Source organism: Homo sapiens, chromosome 14, assembly GCF_000001405.40.
Source record: "Homo sapiens chromosome 14, GRCh38.p14 Primary Assembly".
Classification (NCBI taxonomy): domain Eukaryota; kingdom Metazoa; phylum Chordata; class Mammalia; order Primates; family Hominidae; genus Homo; species Homo sapiens.
Genome location: NC_000014.9, coordinates 32,816,063 through 32,838,982, shown reverse-complemented (window position 1 = coordinate 32,838,982; position 22,920 = coordinate 32,816,063). Strand labels below are relative to the sequence as shown.

Here is a 22,920-nt window from a genome sequence, read left to right as displayed (position 1 = left end):
ACAGTCGCTCTGATAACCAAGATGCTACTGGGTGACTAATGATGGGCAGCACCTACAGAGTGAAGACACCGGACAGAGAGAGGATTCGCCTCCAGACGGGACAAGGAGGGACTGCAGGAGATGTCATTAAGCAACTCAGAACTGTATGCAATTTAAAATGTCTAAATGGTTTATTTCTGGAATTTCCCATTTAATATTTTGGGACTGCAGGTAACTGAAACTGCATGCAAAAAGAGACTGGGTAAGGGAGGACTACTGCAAATCCTTATTTATCTCGATTGCAAATGAGATAATTTCCTTATTATATAGAATGGATAGCACCAATCACAGAGTATTGTGAAGATTAAATTGAGTATGTAAAGTGCTTAGCACAGTGCCTGGCATATAGCAAGCACTCAAGGGATAATGATTTATTAGATTGATTTAAAAAATAATATCCAGAGTATGTTTACTTATTTAGCCTGATTTCCTATAATTTACTCATCTACAACACTAAACAATAATTGGTAATCATATGGTGAAGCTGAACCGTCAAGGATTAAGTTTTGTTTAAAACTGTTTGAGTTGCCAGTAAGTCACAAATGAGTTAAATAATCACACCCTAAGGTTGATAAGAATAGTCTGTTGTCCAATCATTCTGAATCAAACAGAATCTGTTTTGTCTTTTTAAAAAAAGTTTTACCCACTAGAGCATTATTTCATTCCTATAGAAAATGCCTCGGCTGGGCGCGGTGGCTCACGCCTGTAATCCCAGCACTTTGGGAGGCCGAGGTGGGCGGATCACGAGGTCAGGAGATCGAGACCATCCTGGCTAACACGGTGAAACCCCATCTCTACTAAAAATACAGAAAATTAGCCGGGCGAGGTGGCGGGCGCCTGTAGTCCCAGCTACTCAAAAGGCTGAGGCAGGAGAATGGCGGGAACCCGGGAGGCGGAGCCTGCAGTGAGCCGAGATCGCGCCACTGCACTCCAACCTGGGCGACAGCGAGACTCCGTCTCAAAAAAAAAAAAAAAAAAAAAAAAAGAAAATGCCTCAACCTGTAAATGATTAGTGATTTAACTTACTAAAAAATATTTTTAAATATAGTTTGCATGGGAAGATGTCACTGGTAAATTACAAAAGAATATATGGAACTTAGAACACTGATAGAAGTGTTTAGGAAAGAGGCAAATGGTACATATGTAAAAATAGAATTGTTTCCTGAAAAGTTAAGGCGTTTTCACTTTATAAAACCTTGCCGTAAGCATCATTAGTTATTTGAGATCGGCAGGGATAAGAGCACAAATATGAAGAATGATTTGATTTTCACATCATTTTAATGACAAGATAAATTCCACCAACTTGGCTTTCTATATAAAAAGACACTTTAAAATGAAACATATTTGCAAGCAAACAAACACACACAGAGGGAATTATTTGTTTTGAATTGCTGACTTAGTGTAAGTAACTTGATCAACTAACGGAACCAAACTAATTCTATAAACCTTAGAGTATTTTTTATAAACCAGTGGTTAGGGAATATTGGGATTTAAAAGAGGATCTTATGCATTTTTATGTTCCTAATGCCTTCAATCATTTTAAGTCCTTGAATAAATTTCACTGAATAATATTTGTTTTACGTCTGTAATGGCCCATTTGTTTATAGAGTTAGGTGTCTTTTAAAATGGCAGGTTAGGTTTAAGTAAGGACAAAGAAATGTTTTAATAATTTCAGGATTGTTTCTTATTACATCATATTTTTATGCATTTGTGTTAAATTAATAAAATCCATTATCATACATCTTAATGGTATGGAAAAATTACCAAATCTACATCTGGTGATCCTAGTCAAACGTCCCCATATAAAATGAATAAAGAAGGGAGAAAGAGCAATGGTACAGTCTAAAACGTTGATGAACATGACAGGTTACAAGGTATAGACACAAAAGGCTTTGGGTTTATCTGGAAAACCTTGATGTTCCATTATCATATGGCTCTGTAGTTAACAGTGGGCAAAGCAAGTTACCTCGACCAAGTCATCAGGACTGGCTATTTTTCCAACATCACTTTGAGGCCAAGTTCTGTTCCATTTTACATTTGCTTTTTGAATTCCTTTTTTTCTGAAGAACACACCAGGAAGCTCAAGTTCTTTGTGCCTGTGGATTACCTGGGGCAGCACATAAATGCACGATGGGGTTGATTCTCTTGTTCTTTGGGAGCCATCTCCCAGGTTTGGGAGCACCTCATTTCAAGCAAGAGAGTGCAAGCCTCAATAGCAGTGGCTCTTAAATATGGTGTCACAAGGGGTTTGTAACCCATAATAGAGTACCAAAATTTTGGAATACTTTTTTGAGTATGAATTAGATTGGCTTCAAAGTTACCCTTAAAGTAACGTCACTCCAATCTGCTGCCTTAAGATACTCTGCTTGAGTAGGAGAGAATGGGGCAGAGTATTCACTGGAAATTGTTTACTAATGTTTGGCAAAAGCCTGGAAGTGTCTATCACCTCAATATTTGTGTACCCCCAAAATTGGTATGTTGAAACCTAATCCCCAATGTGATCGTATTAAGAGATGGAGCCTTTGGGAGGTGATTAAGTTGTGAAGTCTTCATGAATGGAATTAGTGCTTTCGTAAAAGGGGCCCAAGGGAGCTTGTTCACTGCCCCTTCCACCAGATGAGGATGCAGTAAGGTGCATCAATGAAACAGAAAGTGAGCCCTCCTCAGACACTGAATCTGCTAGCATCTTGATCTTGAACTTCCCAGTCTCCAGAACTTTGAGCAGTAAATTCTGTTGTTTATAAACAACACAGTCCAAGCAGTCTGGGCAGACTAAGACAGTCTTACACGTATGAACACATTCCAACTCCTGTGTGTTGCAATGGAAAAGAGACAAAAGAGTTGCTTTATGCAGGCAATGATTTACTTCAAAATGCAAGGACAAATAAGCTCTGCGTAATTTCTGCTTTGGTGAGAACCCATTAATCAAGGGCCAGAATGGTCTTACGGCATTGGCCAAAATGCCTTTGCCAAAGAAACCATACTATTGTGGGCCTGACCTGCCCATGTCATCCTATTATTTTACTCTGGAAATGCAAATATGTGGCAACTCTCAAACTAAAGGGCCATTGTTATATAGAAGGTATGTGGCTGCTTTTAAAAAAGAAGTGGCTATACGGTTTCCTTGAACGTTCCCTTCCCAGAAGTGTGGCAGTGCTATCAAAGGTGAATTTAAGAAAGAAAAGAAGGACTATTCTTTTTGAACATCTTCTTTTTAATTAGAGTGTCCACCTATGGCCACACCAGGGTTTGTGGTGAATACTTAATTCCTTGGTAAATTCAGCAGTTGGGAACTGAAGGTGTACTATATACAATATTTTGATCATGGTTTTGCCTTTGAGTTGAAAAATGAATTTGAAAAAAACTGACTGTGAAATGGCCTGAATTTAATTCCTCGGATTGCTTTAGAAAAACATTTAAAGAAAGGATTCCAGTTTACTGGTGCATGGAAGTGAGTTTGTGTCAATTTTTCTGATGGTTTTGATTGAACTAATTATTTAGTCTGTAATTGACTAACCCTCTAAATCAATCAAAGCCAGGCAGTAATAGTGAACTAAATTTAAATCCTTAAACAAACTGTGGATGTGAAACAATCTTTAAGTGCACTTTATTTTTTAAGGTAATATGAAACAAGTTGAGAATGCAATAAAATCTAGGAAGTAAAAAGAAAAAAAAAACACAACTATTGCCGGTGTTTATGTCTTACACTGAATTTGCAAATGGAAATCTATCCTAAGAAAATGTGTCGGAATTTAGAATATCATAGACCAGGGATCAGAAAACTTTCTGTAATGATCCAGATAGTAAATGTTTTAGGTTTTGCAGGCCATATGGCTTTTGTTGCAAGTACGTAACTTTGTATAGTGTCAAAGCATCCGTAGACTATGGAAACAAATGTGCGTGGATGTGTTCTAATAAAACTTTATACATGGACACCAAAATTTAAATTTCATATGATTTTCACATGTCATGAAGTATTCTTTTGTTTAACTACTAAAAAATGTAAAAATTGTTTGAAGCTCGTCAATTGTTCAAATGGGTCAAACCAGAACAGGCAACGAGCTGAATTTGGCCCACGTGCCACAGTTTGCTGACCCTTGCCTTAGATGGATGAAGCATGGGCTGAAAGAGTAAGCTGTGAACTTTAAAACATATCAGGAATGTCAGTTATTCAATCAATCTTCATTAAAGAGTGGCTGTGAATGCAAAGTCACCTATGTATTTACTTGACAAAAAAAAGTTTACCCTGAGTTTAACAATGAGAAAACAACTAGACCCATCAAGATTGTGGATCATTCTGCAAAACTGGCCTGGACTTTTCAGAACTGTCGATGTTATAAAAGCCCAAAGAAAAATAGAGTAAAAGCACAGGGAAACTATGCAAGATTTAAAAAAAAAAAAAAAAAAAAAGACTTGGAAACTAAAAGCAGTGTGTGATCTTTGTTTGAATACTGTATTAAAACAAAAACAACTATAAGAGGACATAATTTGGGTAGTTAGAGAAACTTGAATATAAACTATCAGGTATTATTGTATTAATATTACATTTTTTTTTTTGAGACAAAATTTCACTCTTCTTGCCCAGGCTGGAGTGCAGTGGTGCAATCTCGGCTCACTGCAACCTCTGCCTCCTGGCTTCAAGCAATTCTCCTGCCTCAGCCTCCCAAGTAGCTGGGATTACAGCTACCACGCCTGGCTAATTTTTGTATTTTTAGTAGAGACGGGGTTTCACCATGTTGGCCAGGCTGATCTCGAACTCCTGACCTTAGGTGATCCACACGCCTTGGCCTCCCAAAGTGCTGGGATTACAGGCGTGAGCCACCATGACCAGCCAATGTTACATTTCTTGAGTATGAAGATGGTATTGTAGACTTGCAGAAGAATACCCATGTTCTCAGCTAACACATGCTGAAGTATTTGCAGATGAAGTATCATACTCTACAATTTAATTTCAAATGATTTAATCATACAAAAAAGTGTGTGTGTATACAGAGATGAAGTAAATATGGTGAAATATTAACAATAAATGAACCTGAGGGATGAGTACCAAGTATCTTTGTTCTACTCTCAACTTTTACATAGGTCTGAATTTTTTCAAAATGAAAATTGAAAAAAGAATATGTAGAAAAAAATATAGCGGTAAATTTAGTTGGTTCGATTTATATTTAAAATATAAGAATTATATGACACTTGAAAAGTGAGTTTTTCTTTAAAATTCTAAAAAATTTCAACTTCTTTTGGAAGCTAAAGCAAATTGACTTGTAAGACAGACCTGGATCATTTCATTGATATTTTCATCTAGTTTGTTTCTAGGAATTATAGAATGGGTGAAACCTAGTCCGGATGAACCAAACACAACAAAGTCATCAAACTCAGGTTTCCAGAAGCCCTAAATTTAGGTTGTTCTGTGTTGTATAAGATGCATATTTATTCAGTGACCAGAAATCTAACAAATATTTTTCTTTCTGTAATTAAAACCACTTTACTTTTTCTGGTAGTCAGATCCAGATGATTTTTTGTATACCGTTTTGCTCACTAGATTTTCTTAAATGTAGAGAAACTTCATCAGAAACTAAATGAGGTCATCATTTAATTGAGACAAAAGTCATAATCACTCTATTCAAGGACACAAAAGGCACTTTCAGAAGAAAAGCTGTAAACCTTTGGAGACAGATACCATGTGTTAGTTGCCTTTATATACCTAATGCCAAATATAGTGCCTCACATAGGTAGCCATTTAATAAATGTTTGCTGAATGGCTGAATAAATGAATAAATAAGCGGAGGGAGTGCCCTACTTGGAAACAGGTTAGGTTTGTATTCGATGTAAGGAGAAGATTCCAGATGACTTAGGCACTGGACTGGGCCACTGAAGGAAGTCATGGATTCTTATTTATTTATTGTTTGAAATTTACAATAATAGAATAAACATATCTTGAATATATTTCTAGAGAAAACTTCGCACTTAAATGTTCAGATTCTTTTCTACATGTATGATGATGAAGACAGTTCCTTAATGTGAAGAATTCTGTCTGTTAACATTCAGTCAGGTTGGAATGGATCTGAAAACCATGACATATGAAGGGCAGTTGAGGAAACAGTGGTTGGGAGATGATGAGTAACTGGCCTTGATTATCTTCAGGGTTGCCATGAGAAAGAGGGAGTAAAGATAATCTGGGCTGCTCCATAAGACAGAACAGGGTAGCGGGGTACTAGGCAGATTTTAGCAACCTAAGAAAGAACTTTCTAACAAAGAGATATGCCCAACAGTGGAACAGTTTGCCTTAACAGACAATGAGCCACTATCACTGGAAGTGTGTAGGCAGAGTTGGTGTGATCATTTTCTAAGGGTAATTGGGGAGGTAGTGCCTACATGGGGTGGGAGATTGAGGCTATTTTTCTTCTTCCAACCTGAAAAGGCATTGTTCAACAAACCTGAAAGTCATTCTACAAATTTAGTGTTAATACTAAGCAGATAATTAACAAATACTTTCAATACTGCACGGTCTTCCATGAGCATGTAACAAGTAGGTAGAACATCATTGTCAGTTTGTTCTTTGAATGTTTTACCAGTCGATGTAGACTTGACATTAGTTACTACCCAAAGAAAATTTAGGTTGTGTCAGTATGTAAAATAATACCATATCCCAACAGAGGTCTAGAATGCCCTTAGAAATTTCAAAGACTCTAGGATTTGTTCTTTCACTACATCCTGGGCCACTATACTTGTGTACTCTGTTATTGCAAACTTAGCTTATTTTCTCCAGCTGCCCCCTAACTAGACAATTATCTCTAATCTCTTTCCCCCATAATCCTCTTGAACACTGCAACTAGATGTCTGGCTAAAACCGCTTTTGAACAAATTACTACCTATTAAGAAGCCTAGAATAATTTATCCATTTAGAAATACATATGGAAAAGATCAGAAGGGGCATAAAAATACAAATAGTTATTAAAGTGGTAGAATTACAGATAAGCATCGTCTAAATGATCTTGGCGTGGCACTAATGATAAATAAAATCAGGTGCAAAACAGCCTGTACAAAGTGTCCTTATTACCTAGCATTTTACATACAGAAGCTCCAAGTTAACTTTTTAAAAGACCTTCCATTAAGTCCTCCCAATTTACTTTTTCTTCTATTACCCCTGCAATGAAGTTTCATGAATATTCCACTAACTTTCCACTCTCTGCAAGCCCTTTTTCTTCCTCCTTGTACCCACTGCTGCTTCTCTCATTGCGCTTCTATCACTACATTTGCTCTGTTCCTCAGCTCTGCAACAAATACTTCATGTCATTTGCGTGTTCACTTGTTCCTAATGCAGGACAGCCTTCTGAGGGCAGGGCTTTGTCTGTTTGTTCAACATTGCATCTTCTGGATCTAGAATAGTGCCTTGCAGATAAAAAGTGTTTCTGAACTATCTGTTGAATGATTGTCATTCCTGTGACTGCATGAACCCACAACATTCTTTACCTTTTAGAAATTTGATATATATTATCTATTGTGACTTTATATTGCATTGTACCTCTTTCTAGTTGTGTCCATGTTTTAGTGTCAAAATAAAGGGATAGATGTCACCATGTCACCTAATTTAATCCTTTAATTCAGTAAATTTTTATTGAATACCTACTGTGTCAGGCACTTAAGTAGGTGTTACGATATAAATTTAAAACTGCATTTAACAGGAGTCAGTAAAGGCCAGATGAAATATTTCTTTGTCAATTTCTTTTACACATATAAATATACCTGAAATCTATAAATAATAGTCAAATTTTCTGTACTTTTCTACTAGCTTTCTATCAAACTCATTCAAAATAAATATTTAAAATAAATTAAGACATACAAGGTACCTGAAATCCAACATTAAATCATTAATGATAAGTGGAAATAAAAAATCTAGTATAAATGTTTATTGGTTTAGGGGAACTGACATTTAATCATTTGCTGTTCCAAGATCTTTATAGTGACCAGAAAGATTTTGAAAACTGAAGGCTTTACGTCTAGTCTCTAGTTTAGGTAATGTTAAGCCTCTTAAGCAATATGAATATGTTTGGAAGCTGCTACATGCTATACTTTTTCAGAACCAGATGCAACAATTTGGTAAAGAACATAGTAGAAGAGATCACTAATTTTCCTTTTCCCCCAATAATCTGTGTTTATTATGCCAATTTTAATTACCATGCAATCTAATGGATTTAAGGCTTATATTTTCCACATCACTAGACATCACAAACATGAAAGCATTTTATACTGTCATTATACATCAATGTTTGTACTTGGTTATACATATATACAGAAATTATTCACACATCTTAACCTTGCTATTTCCTCCTTTCAAACCAACATAATTTTACCGTGAAAGCAGCTTTTTAATAAATGGTATAAGAAATACAGCAAGGCACACTTTTTTAAAAAACTTTTTTCTCATTACCACCTCAAGAAGCATAAAAAATGAAAATGTTGTACATAATTCAATAGTAGAATGTCACCAGTTTATAATATACAACACCATATGGTTGTTTCTTGAAATGCTGCATAGATTATTTTTTAAATGAAATAAATAAAATGGCGCTTTTAATAGTTGCTTAATTTTGAAAGAAGGACCAGTGTTTCTTCTCTATGCTGCAACCAATTCAAATGTTGGCTTTTTAGGTAAAACTCTTTCAATAAACACAGTCATTATACCGTTAAAAAAAAATCCAGATTGATACATGAAATTGGTCAAGTACTGGTGGGGGGGTCATTCTAGACAGGAGAATTTAATGGACTACCAGTTGGTGAACTGCAGAACTTTAAAGAGTGGAAGGGAAGGGAGGAGGCAAAGAGAAAAGTCTAGCTGGAGAGAGAGGGTTGGTAGAGGTAGCTTGGGACAGGAATCCATGGGAGAACAAGCAGCTTTGCTGAACTTCAAAGACGATCACCTAAAGAGAACCAGCGCACACATTCAGATCACAAGGCTTGTGTGGAGAAAACACATTTGGAAGGAAGATTCATCTTGGGAGAAGTCAATGTAATAAACGGCAGTGACAAACGTGATGGAACCAGAGGCCAGCCCAGGGCGGGAGGATGAGGCCACCCCTGAGTTGCAGCCAGGCGTATCTACAAGAAACAAAAAAGTGACAAGAAAAGGTTTCAGAAATGTATTTTTCATTAGCAAAACCAAGCCCTTTGAGGAACCATTGAAGGCTGCAATTGTGGGACTACTTGCTAATGTTCTGAAATATAAAGATACATAAAATATAAATAATTTTAATAGCCCAAGCTTCACATTACTGACAAAAAAAGTCTCAGCGTAGATGTGAAAAATACATTGATTTTTTTTTTTTTTTAAAAAGACGTGGTTTCAAAGAAAACAAGAAAAATCATCAAGTTTGACCTTTTCTCTGGATGTCATCCACTCTTTTGCCTGTGCACTCAGTTTGGAACATCAAAATAGCTTCAAACCAATATGAAAATGTGAGGCCACTGATGCCAAGTGATGCGGCAAAATATTTACAATGTACAATGATTCCACAGACTGGGAGCTGATAGGCTCTCAGGCTTAACCCTTCCTGCAGTGATTTTATGCATGATATCGAACAATTCCACTATTGTATAGTGGTGAAATATTCACAACATTGTGATTATCCTAAGTGTTTCAGCCTATAAAAAGATACAACTGGGGCTTCTAGCTCAAATAGTAATGCATTTCATTTAAGGTACATACAGCATTGTGGAAACGAGATGGATTCAATTATATTTGTACATCTCATGGCTATGATATAAATTTCTTCCAAACTTGATCCATTCTGCCTGTTTCTAAATGGCTAAAAGCAACTGGTCAAATGTGAGGAACACCTAAATACCAAGTTTAGGCAATGCAGGATGCAACTATTGTAAGTCCCCCTGACCAGCTCTCAAAGAAAGCAGGCTTTTGCTTGTCTGGGCTTAAACTGAGTTCTGATTTCTCATATCAGGTTGTTTTACTGTCCTTCAAGAACGAATATGCTCTTTGTCTTGCTCTCTGTTTTTCTACAATCTTTCAACTTAAGAGCCAGAAAAACCTTAACAAAAAGTGGTTTGGCTGGAGCCATGGGGAGTTGGAGAAAGAAGAAAAATTAGATAAAGAACTGGGGGAGACAGACAGAAACAGATGGGATGAAATTTGGTATAGTAAAATAATGCAGTAACACAAGAAAGCCCAGTGCATTGTTCAAATGCTGAGGACATGACTCATTTGAAATCTGGCCACAGAATAGGGATTCCCTAGGTGAGGCAAATCTGGTCTTACTAAATGCTGGCATTTAAATTCTCTCTAGGTAATCAATTCTTTCAACTTGGCCCACTTGGAAATGGGCAGGCCAATTGGCTGAGGCACAGATCTGGGGTGTGAGAGTGTGTGTGTGTGTGTGTGTGTGTGTGTGTGTGTGTGTGTGTGAGAGAGAGAGAGAGAGAGAGAGATAGATGATAGGTGATGCCCAGTAACATCCTTGTCATTTAGCATAGCAGGGCTAGTTATTCAGAAGTGCCAGATAATTTAAAGACACTTCACATCCAGCAAAACATTGGTTTATTAAAGTGATTTTAAAGGTAAGTTTGATAAGATTATACCTGTATTGTCTAGTGCAAAATTCATACACAATCACCAAAGGTAGTTTCTTAAACCTAGTTGACCAGCTTTGGAAAATATTAAGCACCTAATGTCAATCCAATTAACAGAATGGGAATTGTGCTGTGTGCATGAGAAATGTTTGCTCTTACAGCTTTCTCAGTTTGTAAAATCTGAGCAGCAGCATTTAAAACTCTTTATGTGCGTACTTGAGCATGCACAAATACAAGTAATTGCCTAAAATCTAAAATCTACTGGCCACCAACTATCACATTTACAGACCAATAAAGTAGAAAAGGCAATAAAGCTAAAAAGTTCTAAAGGAAATATATGCACTGTAAGTAAATACAGCTCCTCAACCCACCCCCCAAAACACCACACTCATACACATACACATAGTAAAACAAAACCCCAAATCACTAGAGCAGACCAAAAGGAAAAGAAAAAGCACACACTGGCCGCATATGATGAGTTAAATTTTTATACCACGGGATTTATCCAGCCTGAAGTTTAGGGTTAAACCATTCATCAAAGATCAGAGGCTTATGATGAGGATTATGAAGAAATAACTGTCAGAATACAGCAAAAAGATTAGCGCAAAGTACATCTCTGAGGCAGGTCCTAGGAGGCACTCCAGACATACATTATGTGCTTCCTCCAAATTAGGCAGAAAGATCTGGATCTATCCAGTTACCTTTCCTTTGATGTGATTTGCTGTAACTGACCCCTCTATTTTTATAGAAACATGACACAAAAATGAAAATAGTGAAAAGCACAGCAGTATGCCTGGAAATCAGTGCAAATGCATACTGTTAGATCATGTTAAAACTTCTCAAGCAGTTTCAGTGGGTTTTTAATTAGAACACAGTAAATAAAAAACATTTGAAAATCTGGAAAACATTTTTGTTACTGTTGCAGACTCTATCTGCTATTCTAAGTTATATCTCTTCTGGGTGGCATTATAATCATTTCATCATCTGAAAACTTAGTTCTGGAAAAAAAAAAAAACCAAGCAAATGGAATTTGGTGAATTTTACTGTCCTGATAAAAAGAGCATCACCACTGATGGTTTTCAAATGTCTTTAAAAAGCACAGCTTTTTCTTTTTCTTTTTCTGAACTTGTAGTAAGAACAATGACAACAATTAAGCTCTTGTAGACATGAAACCTCATATTTATCAAACAATTTTTACTATGTATTCTTGACATTAAATACTGAAGGCATGTCAACATTTTGAGATTAAATAATTTGTCCTGGTTGATAGTATTTTAACAATATGTGACTATTTATACCCAGTTATCCAATGCTAACGTCTGGTAAAAATTTCAGGCATCCAGATGTTTTGTCCACATGATACTGAAAAAAATCCTGAATAGGACCAGTAAATATGGCTATTTAAATGGCTCTAGGCCTATAACAAGTCACTTGGGGGCGATGTGAGTTCTGCAGAAGTAAAATCTGGCTGTTTCTCCCTTTGCCCGAGATAAGGCCAGGCATCACCGGGGCTTAACAAAAAATACTGCTGACTGGCAGACGGGCTGGCTGCTAGTTTGACATTGTCCCTGCTTGTAAAATGTGAGGGTTACACAGATCCACCAGCACATTCACTTCCTCCAAGTCTAAAGATGGAGCTGCTCATCATTTACATTTCATTTCAATTCTACGTCTATGTAAGAGAGAGAAGAAATTCCCAGAGGATCAAAAAAGGGAGAGTGCTTCGCAAAGGCTTCTCCAGTGCCAGAGCTTCTGGAGCTCCAGATCTCAGCATGACTGGTGACTTGAGGGTCACAGTCACATGATGTCATGCTCAGAGTGGTGTTGCTTTCAAGCCTTTATCCCCTTTCAGAAAACAAAATCAGCCAGGCTCTACCAGCCCTTCTGCGGAGGTTGGCAGAGCCAGCAGTACAATCGGTTCTAATAGGACTTGTTTTGAAGCAGCTTATGGAATTGCAGTTACTCTCCCTTAATGGTCAGTTTTACTGCATACTGATGGAGAATGTGATTATAGGGTGGACATGTTTCACAGAAAATACATTTCTCTCTCTCCTACTTTTGTTCTCACTTGCAGCCAATTGTAAATAGAGTCTGAAACACAGAAAATTAGTTGAGCTATATTAGTAAGTGGGATGCCTTTCTTCAATTTTGCATACTGAGTTTATTTTTAGGGTATATATGGTATAGATGCCCCCCCTTAGTCCCCATTTCTAGCAGCTCTACACAGAATCACACATTTTAATAAGCTTAGGGCACAGGTGTTGCAGGAAAAAAAAATAATGATGTTTGCCATTCATCTTTCAAATTAAATAATGTGTTTTTAAATAGTAACTTTTTTCATAATACATTATGGGAACAACATTTATCTGTCACATTTTAAAAGATGTATTTGTAATAAATGTAAATTACTTTTAGAAAATCAGTAATTAGGCTCATCAAAAAATAAACAATCTGCCACAAAAAAGATAATCTTTAGCATAGTTAAGTATAATAACTGTTATTTGAATAAGTTAACAAATTAGGGTAGATTGCTTCTGTAATTCATTTCCTATAGCACGAGTTTAGGTGACGGCATTAAGCTTCTGGAGTGGGGGGTGGAGGTGGCATTAGGCATCTCATACTTGGGTGAAATATGACTCTCACATTTGAAAGCTCAAATTTTCTTTAAACTTGATTGAGAAAGCATATTCATCACTGGGGCTTAGAAATGGGAAATAACAGAATCTTTGTGTCACTTTTAGAGACATATCATCATCTTGGAATTATCGATCAATAGCTGTCTTATTAAATGTGAAGAGTGGAATGACTTTCTTAAAAAATTTGATGGAAATCAGCCTGTCACCTTCAGGCAAAATTCAAAAATTCTGTTTTTATCAAAACGCCATTAACTTGTCATGTATTCTCTCTGCATTTGCTTTCTGAGCCTGTTCTCAATCTGTATGTGGATAAATAAGAGCCTCTTCTTTAACATCAACTTTCCCCTCCTGTTTGAATCCTTAGACATGGCCGTGATTAGGAGTTGTGACAGCACAGTCTTCCACTGGGGAAGCAAATGTGACGATAGTTACATTAGACAGAAGCATAAAAGGAAGGGCCAAATCAGGAGATGTGGCCTTTAGCCTAATCATTGTTCATCTGCAGGCACTGAAGAGAACGGACAGCTCTCTGTGCAGGAAACTGAAGTGGAGAGCATTGTTACTATGCATGCATTTTGATCATGGAGTATAATTGCGATTTGGATAAGCTTTTTATTCTCCCTCAATGGAAGAATTTGAGGCCTTAAATTGTTCAACTACTTCCTCAAATTTTGTATTCTTGCCAGAATTATGTAATAAAGATAATGTCACTAAGAATGTCAATTTTCCCTGTTTTTTTTTTCTTTTGCTTCACAGTTACTTTCATTGTTGAGAGCATTTCTTCTACCTAAATGTCTTATTCAGATAACTGTCTGCCGTAACTGGTCATTCTGACTAGCCTTTTCTCCTGCCATGGTTTTGCTGACCTGAACTCAATATTTTAAATACATATACGGCATGAGGACTATACGTACCTTTCAGTGAGATGATTTTCATGCTTGGGGAGGGGGTACATTCTACCTATGCATATTTCTATGTCGTTTTTCATGAAGGTTTAGAAGATTTTCTTCACAGGTTAAAGTTTTGGGGCTGGGATGCAATGCGGCCTTGTCTGTTGGCTGATTTGCCTTCAAGGAGAGGTCTTGAACTTTAGATTTGGCTGAAGCAGCATTATGTTCTTCTGGCATTCCAGATTCACCTGGTTTTCCGGAACTTTCCTTTTCACTGTCAAGCTTTGAAGGAGTAAACTCTAAGTTTTCTGCACAGCCACTGGAAGTTTGGGGCAAACCATTCACTTCCTTTCCAACCTCAGCTCTTTCCTGAGAGGAAGGACTTGAAAGAGCCACTGTATCTGCATCATCAGCTGAAAGAGAACTATCACTGAACTCAGAAGAACATGCTGTTGCTTGTAGTGGCATTGCAGCTTCGCTGGGAACTGCAGATTCATTTGGAGGAGCACTAGAGAAACAAGGCTCCTCTCCATCAGAGTCACCCTCAACACAGGCCTCAAAAAAGCATTCAATATCTTCCTTGTCATCTAAGCCCGAGTCAGTGGTGTCTAGTGGCAATGGAGTGCTGCTTTTCTCTTCTATGTAATTGGTGACCTCCCCACAATCACTGTCATGAGATGAGAGAGATAAGTACGAATAAAAGTCCCCTTTTCTCAGCTGGATGGGCCGGTGAGAATGCTCCAACACTTTCTCCTTGATTTGAGTTAATGAAGTAGGAGCAGCCACCTCGTTTTCAGGTTGAGATTTACTTTTTAGGGCTGTCGAAGCCATGTCAATGATTTCCTTAACAAAGTTGTGTACTGAACAATCTTCGGCATCTTTTTGATGGAAAACATCTGGCTCACAGTTGCAACAGGAAATGTTGCTGATAGAAGCATTTTCCTCTGTTCCGTTTTGTTCAAGTGCTAGGCAACAACCAGCAGATTTTCCAGCCATACTCGGTGCATCATCAGATGATTTCAGTGCATCAGAGTCTTGTCTGTTGTTAAACCTGGTTTCTAAAGCCAGTTCTGAGAAAGACTTCTCAGTGGGAGTAGAGGCAGTGCTTTGATTTTCAAAATGGTGGTGATTTGGACATTTCTTTGGAAGATGTCTAACATCTTGGGAAACAAATTCCTTGCCAGCAGTATTTGAATCATCTAAACTATCCATAAGTGCTTTACACTTACAATGCTCACTCTCTGAAATCTCTTTCCCATGTGAACCAAGATTTTCTGATACCTTTGAAGTCACATTCGGTTTTCCCTTTTGCCTTTCTGGAATACCTTCAATATTGCCATTTTCCATGTCAGCCACATATGGATCTTTATTAACTTTGAAAATAGTTTTCTTATTTTCACGCTTTGTCCCTAACTCATGGGTATGAGATGAATTCTTACCATTTCCATTATTTTCAGAGACACGTTTTACAGAGCCATTTAGAAGGGTCTCAATATTCAGAGTATCAGAGGGATTGGTCATCTCACTGCTACTTATATCTTTACTGCCCTTCATCTCATCACTGACATTGCACCTTTTCTTATCTCTTGTCAAAGACAATTTTGGCCTAATCCAGGTCTGTAATTCATTCTTTATGTAGTCTAGCCCTGACATCAAGGTGCAGTCTTCATAAATTTCATCATCTGTTGCAATACTGGAGTCGTCATCCTCATCTTTGATGCACAGCTCTTCTTCAGTCAAGGTAAGGGTAGAGCTGGAGAGCAGGTCGCTGTCATCTTCATCATCAGTGCAAGCAGAGGTGCAAGAGACATTAACAATCATGCTGACATTGACATCGCTTTCATCAGCCACTGAACGAGTCAGACGCTTCCTGAACGATGCATTCGATTCCGGGATCTTGTTCTTGTGTAACACAATATCCTCTGAGCAAAGAGAGAGCTCGTCACTGCTGCTAAGTTCTGTTAGAGATGCCGCTGAGTCTTCATTGATAGAAGATGCTATGTCCAATGACATCTGGCCAGTAAAGGACATCTTTTGGGAACTGCTTTGAAGAGTGATATCAGAAACACTTCGTTTTATCTTTTGCTCTGAGGGGCTCTGGATATTCTCCAAACGATTCAGGAGATCTAATGTTCTTTTACTTAGTTCACCAACTGAGCCACTGCTCACGCTTATATCCCCAGAGCTGTGACAGCTAAAGAGATCTTCATTGCTTTTATAGGAAGTCAACCAACTTTCTAAAGAAGTGCTTCGCTGGAGGCTGTCACTGCCATTTTTAAAGATGCCCAATCCAAATAAATCACCCCCTGGAGAAAGGGACTCAATAGATGAACTATGAGATAAAAGGGAGAGCTGTTTGGCATTCTGCATGCCAGTGAATGTCTTTTCTATATTGCCACTTTTATATGAAATGCGATCCATTTCATGAGATGCACTTGCCAAAATCCTTTCATGGGGAGGTACATCTGGTTGTAACTCTGTAGTCTGATGTTTAGATTTGCATGATTTTTTATCAAAATAAAAACCACGAAGCAGGGGATCCTCCACATGCGCTTTTTCGCTTTGTGACTGTTTCATTATCATTGGTAATTTGAGTTTTGAGCCTTGGAGGTATGAGTAATCATAAAATGTAAACACATCATGTTTTCCTTGTAATTCTTCTCCCAAACAGTCAGGGGTATGTTTGGTAATACTGTTTAAATCTCCAACTTTTCCATTTACACAACCCACTGGTGAAATGGACGACTGAGAGCTATTTGGAAGCTTAATGCTTTCCCCCTCATCTGTAAATTTTTGCTTTAACACGTTAACTGCATCTCCCATTTGTGGGTCCAGATGTTCAGTTTCAAGGTTACTTGGGGACCCATCCACTGCATTGAGCAAGCACATTTCAGAGTTGGTAGTGGTTTCTGTGTCTCCTTCACTGACAATTCCACTCTCACTGCCTGAATTCTGGCTCATGTCTCCTCCATGACATGCGCAGGGCTTTACCAAATTGGAACCACCTAGAAGATCTGGCAAAGATTTGGTAGATGAAAATGAAGAGTCTTTACTGAGACTCTTAGTTAAAACATTAGGCTGTGTCATGCCAGTGACCTTTGGATTGTTTTTCAGAAATGGCATGTGGTTGTCCTCATAGAGTTCAACATTGTGGAGGCTGTACACCTGGTAAATGTGTGGACTAGAGGGGGCAGTAATATTTGAGGCATACTGAGATCCCCCATGGTTATCAGCCTCCTCGTCATAACCAGGGTCCTCATTACTTGTCTCTCCAAGCTTCAAGGAAGGGATAACAGGTTGGAGTTCTTGATCAAGGTCATTTGATTCCTCATTCAAACTAATTAACTTGTTACTTATGTCCATTTCATCCCATTCCAGGGCATCCTCACTCATCCCATTTAGGTCCATCAAGCCAGGATCAATCACATTCAAAGTCTCCTGTGTGAGAGAAAGAAAAAGAAAAGGAGAAGAATTAGGGAACACAAGCATGAAAATTTTATCCATTGAAAATCTCTCAGAAGACTCAGGAAAGAAAACTGCCCCAAGCATGGACTTGAAAGACGGCCTAATTATCAACTCTATTCCTCTCTGAAATAACACCCAGAAATTACTGAAAGAGGCTTTTCTATCAATAGTAATTTGTTACTGAAGGCAATAACATAGACTAAAATGTAAGATTATTATTGTCAAATTGTAATTTATGGAATTAGCCATTTCCTATTGATTCATCTACATTTTGAATCTTGGATAGAGTGAAAACTATCAGGTGAATGAAGGTAAAAATAGTACAGCCTATGACATCTCCTAAGGTGCATTCACACTGATACTATTTCAGTTCTGGAGTCCATAGTAGAATACTATCTGCAGCCACACATGGCAAACTCCTTCTTGCCTCTATTCCTGGGTTCTCCATTTTAAGCAGCTTTTGCCTGGGGACTTAAAATAGAGTTGTAGCCACCATGTAGAGCACTTCATGGGCCAGAGGCACATGACTGTGTACCCCCCCTTCCTCTGTGTTCCTATTCAGGGATCTGTCTTTTCAGACTGTGGCCCTGCTCCCAATCAGACATAAGACTAGCAACACTTGACTATTCTCCTTAGCTGTATCTTCCTAGACCCTGAATGCTCCAGGGCAATTTCTTAGTCAAAGTTCTCTCAGCCCCTTTCTTTCCAGTCTCTATCTGTGACAGAGACTTCACTTTGGTCCTTGTTAACTTGGCTCACTACTTACTGTTAGTCCTTCCCCCATTTCTGATAGACAGGAACCTCTCACTCCAGCCCACACCAGCCCCAGAATAATTATTTGAAGACTTTCCTGACCACCCCAGGATGAAGTAGCCCAGATTCCCTTATGCTGCTCTCTGCCTGCCCACTTGGGACCCTTGATGTTTCCTTGGACTTCTTGGCTCTGCCTCTGTTTAGATAGAGCTTGACATATTTTGGGACACAGTAGCTGGCTAGGCTCCTGGACTCTGTTCAAATTCCTTCACTGTCCTTACTTGCTCTCCAGCTGTCTGAATTCATGCTAGAGCCAAGAAAGATTATATATATATATACATAGTGCAGAACTTGATGGGCTCACCTACAGACAGAAACACAAACAGAACTTCTAAGTTCAGCTTATGCTTATGCAGCGTAGCCAAGCAGATGAGTATGGCACTAGAACTTGCAGACTGGTTGAAGGGCTGACTTTGCTGCTTACCATATGCATGACCTTGGACAAGCTGCTTAATAACCTTTCTGAGCAACAGTCTCATTGCCTGTAAAATGGGGATAGCACTGTCAATTTTTCAAGATCATTCTGAGTATTAAACAAGCTAGTGCTTGCGAAGTGCTGAGAAGGCAGACAGTATTAGGTGGCCATACATATATATATATATGTATTTCTTTTTTTGACACAGTCTTGCTCTGTCGCTCAGGCTGGAGTGCAGTAGTGTAATCACAGCTCACTGCAGTCTCAACCTCCCAGGCTCAAACAATCCTTCCGCCTTAGCCTCCCAAGTATCTGGGACTACAGGTGCGTGCCACCGTACCTGGCTAATTTTTATTTTTTGTAGAGACAGGGTGTCACTATGTTGCCCAGGCTGGTCTTGAACTCCTGGATTCAAGTGATCCTCCCACTTTGGCCTCCCAAAGTGCTGGGATTACAGGTGTGAACCACCACATCCAGCCAGTAGCTATAATTCTTAATACATGCAGAATCGCTCTAGTGTGGTCTTGAGTCAATTCATAAAGGGTTTCCTCTGCCTGCTTCATTCTCTTCTTCACATCATACCTTCCAATTTGCTATTAAAACCACAAGGGATTCACGACTTGGCAGAAAGACAGAGGTATCACACAGCATAACAGGCTAGCATATTTGTATTAATGTCAGAATTATTTTAACTGTCTGGTTGAAAAACAGCCCATGATGCTTGTATTCCTCAGTAGTGGGGAAAAAGCGTCACCTGCAGCATGTTAGCAAACTTTCCTAAGAAGCCCTCAATCCTTCCTGAAACTAATAGTTAAAGGGTACCACACAAACACATTAAGTATAAAATACCCATTAGCACTTTATTATACTGGGTATGTAAGAGATTATCTGTATAGCCTACTTAAGTTTAAGAGTCCAGTTACAAGCTAAACATTAATTAAGGGAAATTTTTAAGTTTTCTAAGAGAAATCTTTCCCACTGCCAATGTTACAGCAGTTAATCTAGTACCCAGCAATCATCACAGTGGCTTAGGTACGGAGTACATTCACTGTGATGAATTTTTATTAGAATTTCTGTTTATTCTTTGCTTGCTGATAAAGGAAGTACTAATGACCAGTTAGTACGGCTAATGAATGTTAAAATCTTCAGCTGTAGGAACAATCAATCAGTCTAATCAAATAGTATATTAATTTCAAATACTATCTTGGCTGACACTGTACTCTGAGAGTGCTAATAAATAATTGAATTAGTCTTTCAAAGGAGCTCTTTTTGTAACTCTCTGGTTGACTTTAACATTTAGCAGCACAGATTTTCCACAAGGATCCCAAACCTAGGGGCTCACATGGAGAAGCGGGAATTGTGCCATCTGGATGGGCTGGGAGCTAAGCCCAAGTGGCACCTGCAAGTCAGACTCATCTTCCATGACACAGTCGTTTTCTGACCAAATGCTGCCTTTACGGCTTTACGAATTCAAGCCTAAGAAACTATAAAATTTATAGCAGCACCTAAAGGAAAAAATTCCTTTGCTCAGTAAAATATAGTTGGCCCTCCATATCCATGGGTTCCAAATTCATGAATTCAACCAACTGCAGATCAAATATATTTGTAAAAAAAAATTTCACGGTTACAAAAAAAAAAAACCCAAGTTTTCCCTGTGTCAAGTGATGTGTAGGCATTGTATGAACTACTGTAACTAATCTAGAGATGATTTAAAGTAAAGAGAGAGGATGACTGTAGGTTATATGCAAATAATAAACCATTTTATATCAGAGACTTGGGCATCTGAGGATTTTGGTATCTGTGTGTGTGTGTGGTGGGGAAGGAACACTGACAAACAGCTGTAGTTGGAATGGAAAATTTCCATAGGAAAAGATTAAACTTTTGGATGTAATACTGTTCTTTTATTAACTCTCTGCTCTTATAAACCTCTTATATTTATTGTGATTTCTGAAAATTTCTTGTATGGCAATTCCAGGAAATATCTGACAGGATTCATTAGAAAATCATTCACTTTAGACTTTAAATTTTTTCATATTAAAGAAGTGCTACTCACTCTGCCCTCGCTCACTCCCTTCCTGTTGTGGATTAAATTCTGTCAATATTTTCAATAAAATCTCCATTTCCTCAGGATTTAACTTCAACCATAAAATATACCCCTGGGGCAAGAAAGTGGGAAAAGTTTCCAAGAAAGATGTTAGAGTATTTATATAACTAAAAAAGTTCTCTTTGGGAAAAAAAAGATTTGCATATACAAAGATGTAACTGATAGGAAAATTATTTGGTTGAATGCTCTCTTTGATGATAGCCCAACACAACCAATAATGCTCAAGCTAATCAAACGTTTGTTTTTGTTGTTGTTGTTTTCCCAGAGGAGCTATTTGGTACTTTTTAAAAAAGGCACAATGTTCCTGTCTTTGATATAGTGATAAATCTAAATGAATTTAGACAAAATCTAAGAGTATTTGAATGAGACCAAATGGATAGGGAGTAATAAATGAGGTTCCAAAAGACAGCCTGCAATTCCAGAAATAATTCTGAATTAATTCATGCAAGGGTCTTCTATTCATAGACTTGCTGCATGGGTACAGAATTTTGGCCCAAACCAAGGCATTATATAAATAATTACACACACACACACACACACACACACACACAAACACAGACACACACACACACACACACACACACACACACAGCTATACAGATCTGCTCAAGAAACAAATGGAATTAAATAATGCTAGTTTATTTTATTATTTTTACACTTGGAAGCATTTTATTTATATTAGCACAACATATACAGAGAAAGCAATAAAAGTGGTGGAGAAATGATTATGATGATGACAAAAAAAGAAGAACCAAGATTCCAACCGTGGCAGGTAATACCCATCTCAATTAATACCCTCTGCATGTGTATGGCTTTAATTGAGTTAGGTCTCCCATGATTGCATTTCCAGGATTTTCTTACAATTTTAGCTTAAATGGTGGGTGTGTATAAGAGATGAGAAATACTTTATTACCTAAAGAGTAAAGATAAAGGAACTCGACAGTCTACAAAACAATAACCTAATAGAGAATTGATGTAGCCGCCTCTAGATACCTTTAATTTCCTTTCAAAAGTTGCATCTTTTGAAAGATTTTTTTCTAAAAAATCTCAAAAAGACTAGGATGAACTGAATGTTACAGTCAAACTTCTGGTACTCAGAATGTGCAGAACCTTTAAGAAGGTTTTGTAATATGTGCTCCCCCTGTTTATTCTAGATCCAGGAGTTTATTGGGCAGTACCACATGCAAAAACCAGGCAGGAGAGATTTATCTGGAGAAAAGTAGAACACAACAATAACATATAAATAAATAAAAGTGACAAAAACATAAGCAGCAATAACTGTAATTGAATAAAGGTGTACATATTTACCCCAGGGTGAAAAGCAGAACACACAGGTTTGAGGGGGTGATGGAGAGGTGGGAGAAAATAACATATACCTCAGTATAGATGAACCAATTTAAACTAGGGGAAATGCCAACATTCTATACTCTGCTTTTCTTGGCACCCTGTAACCCTGAACCTAAACCAAAGTGTCTGAGCATTAGTTACATAATTATTTTCCTAAATTAGACTTAGGTAGAAATTTTATAAAAACAAAAACAAAAGCAGGACAGGTACAGTGGCTCGTGCTTGTAATTCCAGCACTTTGAGAGGCTGAGGCAGGAGGATCGCTTGAACCCAGGAGTTTGAGACCAGCCTGGGAAACATAGTGAGACACTGTCTCAATGTAAAAATTTTTTAAAATTAGCCAGGCATGGTGGCATGTGCCTGTTGTCCTAGCTACTCTGGAGGCTGAGGTGGAAGGATTGCTTGAGGCCACGAGTTCAACACTGCAGTGAGCCATGATCATGCCACTGCACACCAGCTTGACAATACAGCAATACCCTGTCTCTAAACAAACAAACAAACAAACCATATAAGAGCAATGACAAACAGCTGCTTCCATCTCTGAAAATGGAAAGATAACTTTTAAGAGAACTCTGAGTTTGTAGTACTCTGCCTCTTATTGAGCAGAGAATGGATTCAGAGTCAGCAAGAAAA

At 37.9% G+C, this 22,920-nt stretch overlaps 1 protein-coding gene across 15 annotated transcripts in view; it reads right to left on the bottom strand.

Annotated features, from left to right (window-relative positions):
* Positions 1–1,298: 1,298 nt before the first annotated feature.
* AKAP6 (A-kinase anchoring protein 6) overlaps positions 1,299–22,920 on the bottom strand; it is a 508,387-nt gene continuing 486,765 nt past the window's right edge. For all 15 annotated transcript variants that reach the window (XM_047431969.1, XM_047431966.1, XM_024449755.2 and 12 more), the window contains 2 exons: positions 14,168–17,581; positions 1,299–9,135 (listed from right to left, as the gene is read on the bottom strand). In XM_047431969.1, coding sequence (XP_047287925.1) covers positions 14,210–17,581 — 3,372 coding nt within the window. In that variant the 3' untranslated portion in view covers positions 1,299–9,135; positions 14,168–14,209. The remainder of the gene's footprint in view (positions 9,136–14,167; positions 17,582–22,920) is intronic.